Below are 13,954 nucleotides of genomic sequence, written 5' to 3'. Positions count from 1 at the left end.
ATTTACTTGTCAAGGTCTATGAAAAATGCCTTGGGGATTTTGAATAGGAGTGAATTTCTCAAGACATGAAAGGAAGCAGCTGAGCCCATAATCTTTGTAATCACTTTTGTCACTATAGCTGCTAAACACCACAATCTCAACACCTTGACTTAGACTCGCGCTTCATGTTTTGTCTCCGTCAGTGATATTTTGATGCTACCATATGCCATATAGCAAAGTCCCTTTCCTTCCACCGTGTGTTTCTCAGCATGTGAACAACTCAGTCTCAGAATTCCATTTGGAGGTCTGCTTTCTAGAGCTATTCCTGATACCAAGTACTTGCTATTAATCAAGGTCGCTACAGAAAACAAAGGGCACCATCAAATCTGTAATCAAATAGAGGGACTATTTACAACAGTATGATTCGGACTAAGAGGAAGCAACAAAGAATGGTGAAACATCCAAGATCTAGCAATAGCGAAGAGACTATTCTAACCCTAGTCCAGAAGGGCAAATGGTGAAGTCATTACCAAACCCCAGAGAAAGTAGATGTAGCTTTGGAAAACATTGCCCAATAAGCTCTGTAGCCTTTGGTAAAGTAACGCAAACATCTCTTTTGACCCTCAAAGTGAGGGATCCAGTTGGCTAAGCACTCTGTCTTCACCTAGTTGCTGACCTACTCTTGGTGCCTGCCATTGACCAAATCTAACTGGATGCCAGAGGGCACAGGAGCCTTATTATGTCTCTGTACAACTCAGCTTCTTGGAACCCATACGAGGTAGAGAAGAATGAAAGGTGTAACTGAAGAAGCAAAATAAGATACCCAGCACAGCCACATTCCCATGAGGGCAAATTTCTTTATGTCTCTAGAACTTCACATCTCCATTGGTACTCCAGAGACAAGCATCAACAATAGTTACATTTTTTATGTAAAAAACCATATTCAGGTACATGAAACACAAGGATTCCAATGAACAAAAGGGTAAAAGAAAGACAATTCACGAAAGAGGAAATTAAACTAGAAAAGAGATGTAAAATAACATTGGCTGTCTGTTGCCAATCAAATGAAAGCTTTGAAGTCACTCAGAATAATTGAAGCAGTTTGAATAAAGAGCGGAGATGTGATAGATTACTTAGTGAATATGAAGGAGCAGCATAGAAGATGGTAGGAGGTACATGGTATACCTGCATGGCCAACAAAATTAAAATAGGACATTGAAGACAGAGAAAAACGATGGCTAGAAAAGCAGTAGGAATAAAAGAGAAGATCATGCTTCCTGGCTTCATGGTATGAGAATGGAGGAGTGAGTAGATACCCATGAGAAAAGATCAAGGGGCATGCAGCCATCAGGGAAAATCCATAGTGCAGATAAAGCAAGGAGGAAGAAGGACAGTTCTAGTAAAAGGGAGAACATCAGTATAGGATGTTTCTTCGCAATAGAAAAAGAAGGCCAAGAGGAATCAGGGAGAGAGTTATAAGAGAAGACTAAGGGGACCAGGTTAGATTTGGTTTGGTTTGAAAGCATACAGTAAATATGATGTCTGTCCCTGGTGGTGTTGGTTGAGTAGGAAGGAGGAAGGGAGGCAAGAGATAATATCATTTTGTCTGTGCTACTGTAATTACATATATCAGGGGAAATTCAGCCAGATATCAGGTAAAATTCACCCCTGATATTTCACGTAGGTTCTTTTCTATTTTCCCTAAGTGTCGGCTGGTCTGAGAAATAAAGGGATAGAGTACAAAAGAGAGAAATTTTAAAGCTGGGTGTCTGGGGAAGACATCACAGTTTGGCAGGTTCCATGATACCCCCTGAGCCACAAAACCAGCAAGTTTTTATTAGTGATTTCAAAAGGAGAGGGAGTGTACGAATAGAGTGTGGGTCACAGAGATCACGTGCTTCACAAGGTGATAGAATATCACAAGGCAAATGGAGGCAGGGTGAGATCACAGGACCACAGGACCTGGGTGAAATTAAAATTGCTAATGAAGTTTCGGGCACGCATTGTCATTGATAACATCTTATCAGGAGACAGGGTTTGAGAGCAGACAACCGGTCTGACCAAAAATTTATTAGATGGGACTTTCCTCATCCTAATAAGCCTAGGAGCGCTACGGGAGGTTGGGGCTTATTTCATCCCTACAGCTTCAACCATAAAAGACGGCTGCCCCCCAAAGCGGCCATTTTAAAGGCCTACCCTCAGGGGCATATTCTCTTTCTCAGGGATGTTCCTTGATGAGAAAAAGAATTCAGCGATATTTCTCCCATTTGCTTTTGAAAGAAGAGAAATATGGCTCTGTTCCACCCAGCTCACCGGCGGTCAGAGTTTAAGGTTATCACTCATGTTCCCTGAACATTGCTGTTATCCTGTTCTTTTTTCAAGGTGCCCAGATTTCATATTGTTCAAACACACATGCTCTACAAATAATTTATGCAGTTAATGCAATCATCACAGGGTCCTGGGACCACATACATTCTCCTCAGCTTGCAAAGATGATGGGATTAAGAGATTAAAGTAAAGACAGGCATAGGAAATCACAAGGGTATTGATTGAGGAAGTGATAAGTGTTCATGAAATCTTCACAATTTATGTTCAGAGATTGCAGTAAAGACAGGCATAAGAAATTATAAAAGTATTAATTTGGGGAACTAATAAATGTCCATGAAAACTTCATAATCTATGTTCTTCTGCCATGGCTTCAGCCAGTCCCTCGGTTCAGGGTCCCTGACTTCCTGCAACATACATGTGAGACTATTTCCCGCTCTGCTTTTCAAACCTTACTGGAGTTGTTTTCCCTCATGAAAACTAAGAAAGGAAAGCTAGTTAATCTTATTCTGAGGTTGTTCAATATATACATATTCACATCTGTAGAGAGATCCTTGGGAATACAGTAATTGGCATATATTCTGTTATTTGATGCTTGAAAAATCTCTTCCACTAACCAGTTTCCCTATAGATAGGCACAAGCACATAGGTAAGAAACAATAAATAAATGTTCTCTTTAATTTGTAACTTCACAATGCTGAGAAAACTTTACAGCCTTCATAAGGAAGTGAGGTCCAGGAAAATCTAGGAGATATTTGTTAACCAACCTATAAAGACATTAGTAATGACAGGATATTTCCTGAAAGTGTAATTTCCCATTGAGGATTTGTTTTTAATTTCTGGATTCCTGGATCCAATGAAGTTGGCATAGGTTTATGAAATGCCAAGATACATAAGTTGGCAAGTGTTCACATGCAAAAAACTTCTTGGAATTCCTGAGCTCTCTGTGGCAATATATGACATCAGGATATGTCCCATCTCGCACATCAGGATATGTCCTGTCAAGAATGTCTATCACATGCCAGGAGTACTTTTTAGGAACAGAAAAAAATGTCTGAAATGGTTTCTCATTTGAACTCATCCAAGCTTTCTCTAAATTTAAGCAAACTCCTGGTCATTTTCAGTTAGTACCTTTCCTCAAGTTCAACCTTCATGACAAACCTCAGCATCTCAGAAGATTTAGCCATAGTCTGAAATTCTCTTCCATAGACTGGTCCCCTGTAATCCCAGTTTGCCTCAGCTTGTTATCCTGCTTTTTATTCCCCTCTATTCCCAGGCTGAGCTTCTTGCTTCTGTCCTATGAGACGTTAGATTCCTTCGCTTTGGTACCCAAGTAAACCCATCCTTCTCCATATACAGGAAGGTCCATTTTTCTCTTACAGCCCTGGATGCAGACTCAGCTAAGAAGACCATTATTCATTTTTGGAATTCTTCATCTAGGATATTTCCTCTTGTTTCTTTCTCTCCTATCTTTGAGCTTTTTAGATCATCAACACCCCATTAGTCTATTACCCAACTTAAATCAGGGAACTTATACCTCCCAAACTCATTCAGAGACTCCAAACATATATATTGATACAGGAGACCTAAGAAGAGCATGTCTTGGGGGTTGAGGAAACAGGCAGGTGAGAAACTTCCAGATTGGAAACACAGCTTCCTTTCTCCCGTCCAGCCCCTACTTCATCCTATCTGTTTCCGGAACCTTGTTGTAGATGAATCTCCCTTGACTTCATGATGTGCTGAGAAAACAAACTCATGGCTGGTGTTAAAAAGGGCCCATGACAATACCAAGTGTTGGGGAGAATGTGGAGAAATCAGAACTCTATTCACAGTCGGTTGGAATGCACACTTGTGCAGAATTCTATGGAGAAGAGTCTGGCATTTCCTCAAAATGTTAACCTGGATTTACCATATGACCCAGCGATTTCATTCATAGGTTTATACTCAAAAGAAATGAAGAAATATGCCATGCAAAAAAATGTACATGAAAAGTCAAAACATCATTATTCATAATAGTAAATGGATGGAAACAACACAAATGTCCATCAACTTATGAATAAAGAAAATGTGGTCTATTCATAGAATGGAATATTATTCGACCACAAAAAGGAATGATGTACTGATCCATGCAATGACGTGGACAAACCTTGAAGATAATACTAGATGAAAGAAGCCAGTCACAAAAGGACTTACTGTATGATTCGATTTACGTGAAATGTTTAGAATAGGCAAATCCATAGAAACAGGAGGTAGATTACTGGTTTCCAGGGTCTCGAGTAAGGGAAGAACGAGATACAAGTTTTCTTTTGGAGGTAGTGAAATTGTTGTGGAACGAGATCATGATGGTGATAGCACAACTTTGTGAATATAATAAAATCATTGAATTGTACAGTTGAATTTGTGGCATATAAATTATATGTTAAAAAAGGGGGTCCACAAAACAAACAGCCCCCCACTCTGGTTGTCAGGGAGATATTGGATTAAATGGCCTTGGACAACAACCCTCTCCCTGGCCACAGACATTCTTCAGATTACAAGATATTCCAGAGGAAACACTGGAATGAGTCTGAAGCCAGGTGCTAAATGGAAGGACCACCAAGAAACGTTGTGATCCTGACAGGTCAAGCAACTTCTTTTTCTGCTTAATTTTTAAATGAAAAATTAGAAAGCTGACATTCAAAATGGCCCGTCTGTTTCAATTGCTCTTCTCAGTGTCAGCCTGTTAACTCAATGTGTTAGTCTGTTTTCATGCTGCTGATAAAGACATACCTGAGATTAGGAAGTAAAAGAGGTTTAATTGGACTTAGAGTTCCACGTGATTGGGGAGGCCTCAGAATCACGGTAGGAGGCAAAAGTTATTCTTACATGGTGGCTGCAAGAGAAAATGAGGAAGAAGCAAAAGAAGAAACCCCTAATAAACCCATTGGATCTCCTGAGACTTATTAACTATCATGAGAATAGCACAAGAAAGACCGGCCCCCATGATTCAATTACCTCTACCTGGGTCCCTCCAACAACATGTGGAAATTCTGGTAGATACAATTCAAGTTGAGATTTGGGTGGGAACACAGCCAAACCATATCACTCAGCAAGGCAGATAACTTTCTCACTGAGCCTATGCAACAGAAAACCATCTGGGATGGTTGTAAGGGGCACAGGAAGTGACTGGTAGGATCACTGCCAAAGCTGAGCATTCAGGAGAAGGCAATAGAATCCTATTCTCCATAGTATGCTATAAGATACTGAAGTACACTTCTTCACTATCTCTTTGGACTTAGAATTAGCACTATATTCCTTGTTATACAGAAAAATTACTAAGGAAATTCATAGGATGACAAAAACTTTCAGAACTGAAAAACAGGAAATGTAAGCTTTTTAGTTCTTTGGTATTCGAAGTATGCCTAAAAGACAATGCAAAATCCAAGAAAAGAATGGTGGGGTTTTTGTTTGTTTGTTTTTGTTTTTGTTTTACAGCTGGAGTAGAATACAAAGGGATGGAGTTGAAACAAATGAGAGGAAATTGGAATTCTAAACTTATTCTCATTGGCATTAGAAAGGCACCTACATGTATTTCACATGAGCCGGTGACTGCTGACTTGCATTCTTATTTTTTCCCTATAGATTAAAAAGGAGGTACAATGGTAGAACTGTAATCCTGTCCTTTGTCATAAATTTTCGTATTCATAAAGGTGAGTGTTAGCCCGCTTGTGAAATCTGAAGTTGAGTAACTTCAAATACTAACCACAGAGGGAGAGGCAGCAAGAGGAGAGGCATAAATTCAGGATCTCACCCTTCATTCCACAGACACACATAGCCTCTCTGCCCACCTCTGCTTCCTCTAGGAACACAGGTAAGAGCTTCAAGCCTCTCCAGCTTAATAACATGAATTATTTTTGAGAATAATAATGATACTGTGTTCTATATCATGCATCTCCTGCATTCTGTCTGATTATATTTTACTTATTCTGCCAGAGCAAAATTAAAATACCTATTTCATCTGATTTGTCCTTTATCTAAATTGCTTAGTTCCAAGTAAACCAAGGCACTTTTAGGAACACAGAGGGAGAGTGCCTTGCAGCCAGAGAGTCTTGAAGGAGATGTCAGGGACGCATCTTAACAGCTGGTTGGATGTGATCCACAGAGGTCTCCTGTTAGCATTCATTGTAAAGCCTTCCTACCTAGCCCTAGTGTAGCCAGCAATGAAGGAAAGAGGGTCTATTACTTATTTACAGTAGTCTTTAAAAACACTAATTTTGTGAGGCTTCTAATTAAGACATTAATATATTTAATATATGCACATTGTAGAAAGATTGAAACGTTAAAAATAAGATGAGGAAAACTTTAAATGTCAAAATCTCACAACACAGATATATAATTTCTTTAAGAAAATTGTACTACAAAATACCATTCCATTTATTAAAGTCATTCTGACAGGAATCTGATGCTTTTCCAGGAGTTCCAGATCACATCGAGTTCACCATGAATTCACTCAGTGAAGCCAACACCAAGTTCATGTTCGACCTGTTCCAACAGTTCAGAAAATCAAAAGAGAACAACATCTTCTATTCCCCTATCAGCATCACATCAGCATTAGGGATGGTCCTCTTAGGAGCCAAAGACAACACTGCACAACAGATTAAGAAGGTAGCTATCAGCATCATTATGTTGTCCTGTTGCAGTTTTTCTCTGGTTCCGTCGGCTAGCACGCAGATGGTAATAGATGTGGTGGTCTGATGGGTAGCACAGGGGGCTGAGCAGGAATTCCCGTAACTGTGAGACCACTGACTTAAACAGATCTTTTGAGTAAAGTTTTCTTGTCCCGCTTCATGTCTCTTCCAGGTTCTTCACTTTGATCAAGTCACAGAGAACACCACAGGAAAAGCTGCAACATATCATGTGAGTCACAGAGCACTATGGTTCAGCTTTAGATCCCCGAACAGGTCATAGTTTGAACCTGGAACTTCACAGAAACTAAGAAAAGGCCATTTTTAGGGAAAATCTTGGACACAAAGATTGAGACATACAGAGTGGGTTGGCATTTCATGGCACATAATTATTATTCCTCCTTTCTTCGTTACTGAAAGACAGTCAGCACTGTACCTCAGAGCATAGGTCTGGATCAGGATAGGCTAGGTTCAGACTCCAGCTTTGCTCTTCACAAATGGTGAACATGAGCAGGACACAACTGCTCAGAGTCCCAGTGACCTCATCCCAGAAAACTAAGGGTAATAAGAAATCTGACTCAATACATGCAAATACATGCAAATGTTTACAACATTGCCTTGCCCATAAAATGTCATAATAAATGTTATTATTATTATAAAATAGCTATAATTATACTAATCACAATAATGTTGCAAAATATTTAATTTTCATTGAGTCATTAATGAGATAAAGAGGAATAAGCACAAGTCCAACTATATTTTGGAAAATGATTGCTATGGAATATATTGGTTTAGAGCCTTAATAGTGCAAAATGCTTTGCTGGAAAGTAGAAGTTTCTAGATTTAAACAGGCTTAGGTTCAAAACGTGGCACTTCTAATTTATGTCTCTATGAAGAGGTTTACTTTCCATTCTCTGAGCTTTCTTGTTTTCACCTGAATTGAACTAAAGACTTAAAGTTACCCATGTAAAGTCCTTAGCCATGTACCTGGCACACACTCTTCTTACGTGCAGAGAATGACCATCATGAGGAAACAGTCACAGATCAGTCAATGTGTCCTACAAGATAACAGCACCAACAGGTATAACAGGGCTTCCTGGCATAATCTATTTAAAATATCCAACCTTCAACATACTCATATCCTTGATGACTGTTAGAAGTGAAATATGGTCCTTGCCTTTAAGGAGCTGAGAGTTTAACTGGGAAGCTAAACCTAACCCTTTAAACCAACAAGGACAAAATCCAGTGGTAGACAGTGCTGCATCTATAGTTCAGAAGAGAAAAGATTGCAGTACATTAGAGCAAGAAGAATTTCCTGGAAGAAGTGAAACATAAGGTGGATTTTGAAGGGTATTTGAGGTGAAATACACCAAGTATCAGGGAATAAGCTCAAAGGTCCTCATTGAGACTACCAGCCATTAGGGACTGATCTAACAGACTTAGCATGGGTTTAGTATTTACATTGATACAGCAATTGAATGATCTCCTTTTTTGATGTTTGAAGGTTGATAGGTCAGGAAATGTTCATCACCAGTTTCAAAAGCTTCTGACTGAATTCAACAAATCCACTGATGCATATGAGCTGAAGATCGCCAACAAGCTCTTCGGAGAAAAAACGTATCTATTTTTACAGGTAATTTCACCTGGCCTACCCACATTTCATTTGCATCCTGATGTCTGTGTCTCTGAGTGGCCAAATGGAAGAAAGCAAGGCAGATGAGCCTGACCGATCCAGGTGGAGAGCATTTACTCAGAGTGCAATAGCTCCGTTTCCACAACTCTCCCCCACTGGAGTGTCCCAGACCCTAACAATACATCACTGAAGTGTGGATTTAGGGATAATCTTGTAATAAAAGAGGAGGTTGGGTAATAGAGTGAGTAAGAGTAATAAGTAATAAGATACCATCGATAAACTGGCACTGACTCAGTCACATACGATACATCTTGGTGGGAAATGTATGACTAATGGGATATTATTGGAATGGGCAGGCTTGGGTGAGTTCCTGAGAATAGTTGAGGAAGTACCAGGAAATACTGAATGCACAGGATGAAAGATAAAAACAAAGATCAGAAACATCATGGTTGAAATTACTGGAAAGAGGTCTGAGAAGCAATGAATCTCCTTCAGGGAAGCCTGCTCTGCAGTTTGCAAACCACAGCCTCTTCTGCTTCTGCCTTTTGCCAGATGATATTGACCTTCGGTGACCTCTTTCTTGCGCCAGCCCGCACTCCGCTTTTGCATTGCCTACATGGCACCAGTATAAAAATATGCATGGACAGGAGATACTGCATCTATTCAGGGTCTGGATTCAGCTTACTATAATTATAAATAACTAAATTTGGTAATATATAGTTACATAAATTACTCTTACTTCCTACTTTCTTCCTTCATATCTCAAAGGAATATTTAGATGCCATCAAGAAATTTTACCAGACCAGTGTGGAATCTGTTGATTTTGCAAATGCTCCAGAAGAAAGTCGAAAGAAGATTAACTCCTGGGTGGAAAGTCAAACGAATGGTAGGAGAGCCACCCATTATAGAAACACCTTTGAGAAATCTATGCGAGTGAGCCCTATGCCTGAAACTGCATGGGGGACCATGGGTGGGAATTGAGATGGCTTTGCAGGGAGGGAAGAAGAGGGCACTCCAGATGAAGAGTTTTTCCAAATGATTATGAAGAGAGCCTAGGGGAGCCAAGGAGGAAATCACAGGAAGCCAATTAGAAGAAAACATAGCCGGAGGATTCTTTGCTCATGTTCCTGGATGACAATAGCTTTGTGGATCCCTTGTCTCCACTCAGGTCCAATTTGAGATCATGTCCTTTACTTTAAATCAGAACCAATATTTTATGATGAATATTTAAAAGGAAACATTAGAAAGCATCTCCCTTCCCCTTTACTAATTGGGAAACAAGCAGCTCTCTGGTAAATCACCCTTTTGCCATCTGAACTAGAGCTGCCTGGATCACATCTCTAGCCACAAGTTCTGCAGGGATTATCACAGCTCTCTTCCCCATCAAGGGCAAGAGCTTAACAAATTCTCCATTCTATAGACATCTATCCTACCTCCCACCTCTCATTACAGGCCAAACTTACAGCAACTCAACATGAGAGTGAATAGGAAGATACCCCCGGAAGTAGTGTCTGACAGCACAGGACATGCGTTTCATATTACAGAGCTCATGTCACTTGTCCTAAAAAGCAGTCAGGGCCTACTTCCTCTGAATGGGGACCCCGTAGTTAAAAAAAAAAAAAAAAAAGTAGGAAGAGGAGGGAGGGAGAAAGGAAAGACACATGTTGAAAGAGTAGACAAAATCAGTTTATCAGTATTCCAAATCAGATGAATGGACTCATTCATACACAGAGAACGTGAACTCCTTCTCTATCACAAGAAGTGATGTCTCCATTAAGGGCAACTTTATACGACTGGAGCCTTGAAGAAAGCTGCATCTGGTGAACCACTGGTCAGTGAGTCTAACAATTCAAAGATCAAAGTCAGTGAGTCTCAAGTAGGGATTTGGGTCAATAATTAACGATCAGTCACGAACATTTGCAAAGCATCTTCCAGACAAGCCATTTGTAGCTTGTGTAAAAGACTCTTTTATTCTTTCCCTTGCAGAAAAAATTAAAAACCTAATTCCTGAAGGTAATATTGGCAGCAATACCACATTGGTTCTTGTGAACGCAATCTATTTCAAAGGGCAGTGGGAGAAGAAATTTAATAAAGAAGATACTAAAGAGGAAAAATTTTGGCCAAACAAGGTATTGTCTATATTTTATTTATATAATGTAATATGTTAATAAATTTAAACATTTCTGATGGAATGTACCATGACAAGTAAAAAATAAAATTGTTCATGTCTGTTTTTTTGTTGTTTTAGTCTTATAACTTTATTTAGTTAGGAATTCCTGAAGAAGCTATTGTCTCTAACTCATTACATTCTTGGATTATTTCTTAAAAGAAGGATGTGTTGATATCTCAATAATATTATCTTTTTGCCTTGTGTCTCACTTGGTATTTGTTGGACACATTGATTTATTGTAGAATACATACAAGTCCATACAGATGATGAGGCAATACACATCTTTTCATTTTGCCTCGCTGGAGGATGTACAGGCCAAGGTCCTGGAAATACCATACAAAGGCAAAGATCTAAGCATGATTGTGTTGCTGCCAAATGAAATCGATGGTCTCCAGAAGGTAAGAACTTGCATCTACAACTCTTCCTTCTACTGCCTGACATTTTTCCAAAGATACCAAGTTTAAACAAGGTAAAAGCTGGTGACCGAGTTGCCTCAAAATAATGAAAAATTCTAAATGAGGAATGATGACTCACCTTCATATTACAAAGATTTAAGCATAGGGCCTGACACAAACTGAAGGCATAGTTAATGATTAATTTATTAGAGTTACATGCATTGGATATCAATTTAATGATATTATTATGCAGCAATTTAAACTTGACTGGGAGAAATATATAGCAATGTGAGGAAAGTTTACGAATACACCAAGTAAAAAAGGGAATAGAAATTTAGGAATTTGGGGAATTGCAATTTAATAATTGCAATGTGTACTAAATAATGTATACAGAAAAATAAGATGAGCCTATTAAAAATTGACACATGTAGTAGGCTGTTGGCACAAGAAATAGTGATATATATAGTTCATTGTGTACAAAATAATGTAATCATATTTTTACATGTGTATCATACAGTTGTATACATACATATGTACACATTACATATACATAAAAACTTGATTCTGTTTATACACATACACATATAACCCAATGTATTTATATATCCAGGACTCATATTTTGCCTATTAGAATAATAATATCTAATAAAGTGAACCTTCTGTATTTCACATTTGTTGCCAAAATAAGGATTCTCCACATAGTCAATTCATTGTTAAGGTGTATTAGAAATCAACAGTTAGTCATATCAGTTTCTTTTTTCCATTTGTATAGCTTGAAGAGAAACTCACTGCTGAGAAATTGATGGAATGGACAAGTTTGCAGAATATGAGAGAGACACGTGTCGATTTACACTTACCTCGGTTCAAAGTGGAAGAGAGCTATGACCTCAAGGACACGTTGAGAACCATGGGAATGGTGGATATCTTCAATGGGGATGCAGACCTCTCAGGCATGACCGGGAGCCGCGGTCTCGTGCTATCTGGAGTCCTACACAAGGCCTTTGTGGAGGTTACAGAGGAGGGAGCAGAAGCTGCAGCTGCCACCGCTGTAGTAGGATTCGGATCATCACCTACTTCAACTAATGAAGAGTTCCATTGTAATCACCCTTTCCTATTCTTCATAAGGCAAAATAAGACCAACAGCATCCTCTTCTATGGCAGATTCTCATCCCCGTAGATGCAATTAGTCTGTCACTCCATTTGGAAAATGTTCACCTGCAGATGTTCTGGTAAACTGATTGCTGGCAACAACAGATTCTCTTGGCTCATATTTCTTTTCTTTCTCATCTTGATGATGATCGTCATCATCAAGAATTTAATGATTAAAATAGCATGCCTTTCTCTCTTTCTCTTAATAAGCCCACATATAAATGTACTTTTTCTTCCAGAAAAATTCTCCTTGAGGAAAAATGTCCAAAATAAGATGAATCACTTAATACCGTATCTTCTAAATTTGAAATATAATTCTGTTTGTGACCTGTTTTAAATGAACCAAACCAAATCATACTTTTTCTTTGAATTTAGCAACCTAGAAACACACATTTCTTTGAATTTAGGTGATACCTAAATCCTTCTTATGTTTCTAAATTTTGTGATTCTATAAAACACATCATCAATAAAATAGTGACATAAAATCATTTTTGCTTTACATTTTCTCTCTGGAAAGGGAAAGTGTCCAGTTACACACAGGAAAGACAATTTAGAGATATATTAATCACAAACAAAGGAAAATTAAAAACAGAGTAGTTCATGATGAGCCTGGAGTAGAAGGCATATCCCAGAACAGGAGGAGCCTTGTAAACCACATTAGGAACTTCCTATTTTATGCTAAAGGGATAAGAAACTCATTACAGGCTTTGATGGTTGTTTGTCAAAGAGGGGCATAAAATTATCATATCTTCATCTTGAAAATACATCTCTGGTTACTCTGATATCAATGGATGAGAGGAAAGAACAGTGTGGTTACCATATATAAATCAGGAAATCATTAGAGTATTGGGGGTGGAAATGAAGAGAAAGAAACAGCCTGGCAGAATTATTTAGGAAGTAATAGTTAAAAAAAGACATCTAAGTTTCTGAGCTATCTGACTGGAAGGATGGAAGAAAATGTTGTTTTTGAGAGAAAAAAAAGACCATGGGTTTAAATTTGTACTTGATGAATTGAGGTACTTTTAATATTCAAATGAATTTGCCTGGCAGGTACTTGAAGATATTGATCTAAATCTCAGAAACAGAATATGATCTGAAGCTCTAAATTTGTGATATTCAACATAAATACTTTAGAGTTATTGGGATAAACATGGTAATTGTAGCTAGAAGCAAAGATAAGATCCTAGGGAGGAAGGATAAAGTTAGAAGAAAGAAGAATCTGGAATTGACCTTGAAGTATATCAATATGTGTAAAGATCATGAACTGATCATTTTTATTTTCCAGAAAGTAGCTTTTCTTAGGGTTCCATATTTACTCCCATAGATTCTTCCCAGTCAGTACTGAATCCCACCTGGTTTCATAAAACATAAGTTTTAGAGAATTTGAACAAGGTTGAAGTTTTCTTCAGCAAGATTCAGCAGTCCAGGATGAAGGCAGAGGAAACAAATGTTTCACCACTTAACTGTGAGACTTGGTCAAGTTGTCGAGGGAATTGACAGACTAGCCAGAGAGTGTATAACATCAACAATCTGTTCAGTGAATACAGCTGGGGAAAGAAAGCAAAGAAGGATGTAATAGTCTTGAAGAACACATGTGCATTACAATACTTACTGAGGTCAAATAAGGATGGTATTGAGT

At 38.5% G+C, this 13,954-nt stretch overlaps 1 protein-coding gene across 1 annotated transcript, besides 1 other annotated feature; it reads left to right on the top strand.

Moving 5' to 3' along the window:
* The first annotated feature begins 6,106 nt into the window (after window positions 1-6,106).
* On the top strand, window positions 6,107-12,803 carry SERPINB3 (serpin family B member 3). The gene is made up of 8 exons (NM_006919.3): window positions 6,107-6,154; window positions 6,758-6,948; window positions 7,144-7,200; window positions 8,473-8,601; window positions 9,370-9,487; window positions 10,588-10,730; window positions 11,014-11,169; window positions 11,939-12,803. The coding sequence occupies exons 2-8, from the start codon at window positions 6,784-6,786 to the stop codon at window positions 12,341-12,343; spliced, it is 1,173 nt and encodes a 390-aa protein (NP_008850.1). The 5' UTR covers window positions 6,107-6,154; window positions 6,758-6,783; the 3' UTR covers window positions 12,344-12,803.
* Window positions 7,984-9,183: an enhancer, noted in NCBI's record as "CDK7 strongly-dependent group 2 enhancer chr18:61326051-61327250 (GRCh37/hg19 assembly coordinates)". NCBI's record gives its function as "activates an origin of replication core promoter dependent on BRD2, BRD4, P300/CBP, MED14 and CDK7 cofactors, with strong dependence on CDK7, by STARR-seq in HCT116 cells {active_cell/tissue: HCT116}" and the evidence as "EXISTENCE:reporter gene assay evidence [ECO:0000049][PMID:35650434]".
* Window positions 12,804-13,954: the final 1,151 nt, after the last annotated feature.

Source organism: Homo sapiens, chromosome 18 (assembly GCF_000001405.40).
Source record: "Homo sapiens chromosome 18, GRCh38.p14 Primary Assembly".
Classification (NCBI taxonomy): Eukaryota; Metazoa; Chordata; class Mammalia; order Primates; family Hominidae; genus Homo; species Homo sapiens.
Note: the sequence above shows the minus strand (reverse complement) of the source record. Positions and strands in the feature narration are given on the sequence as shown.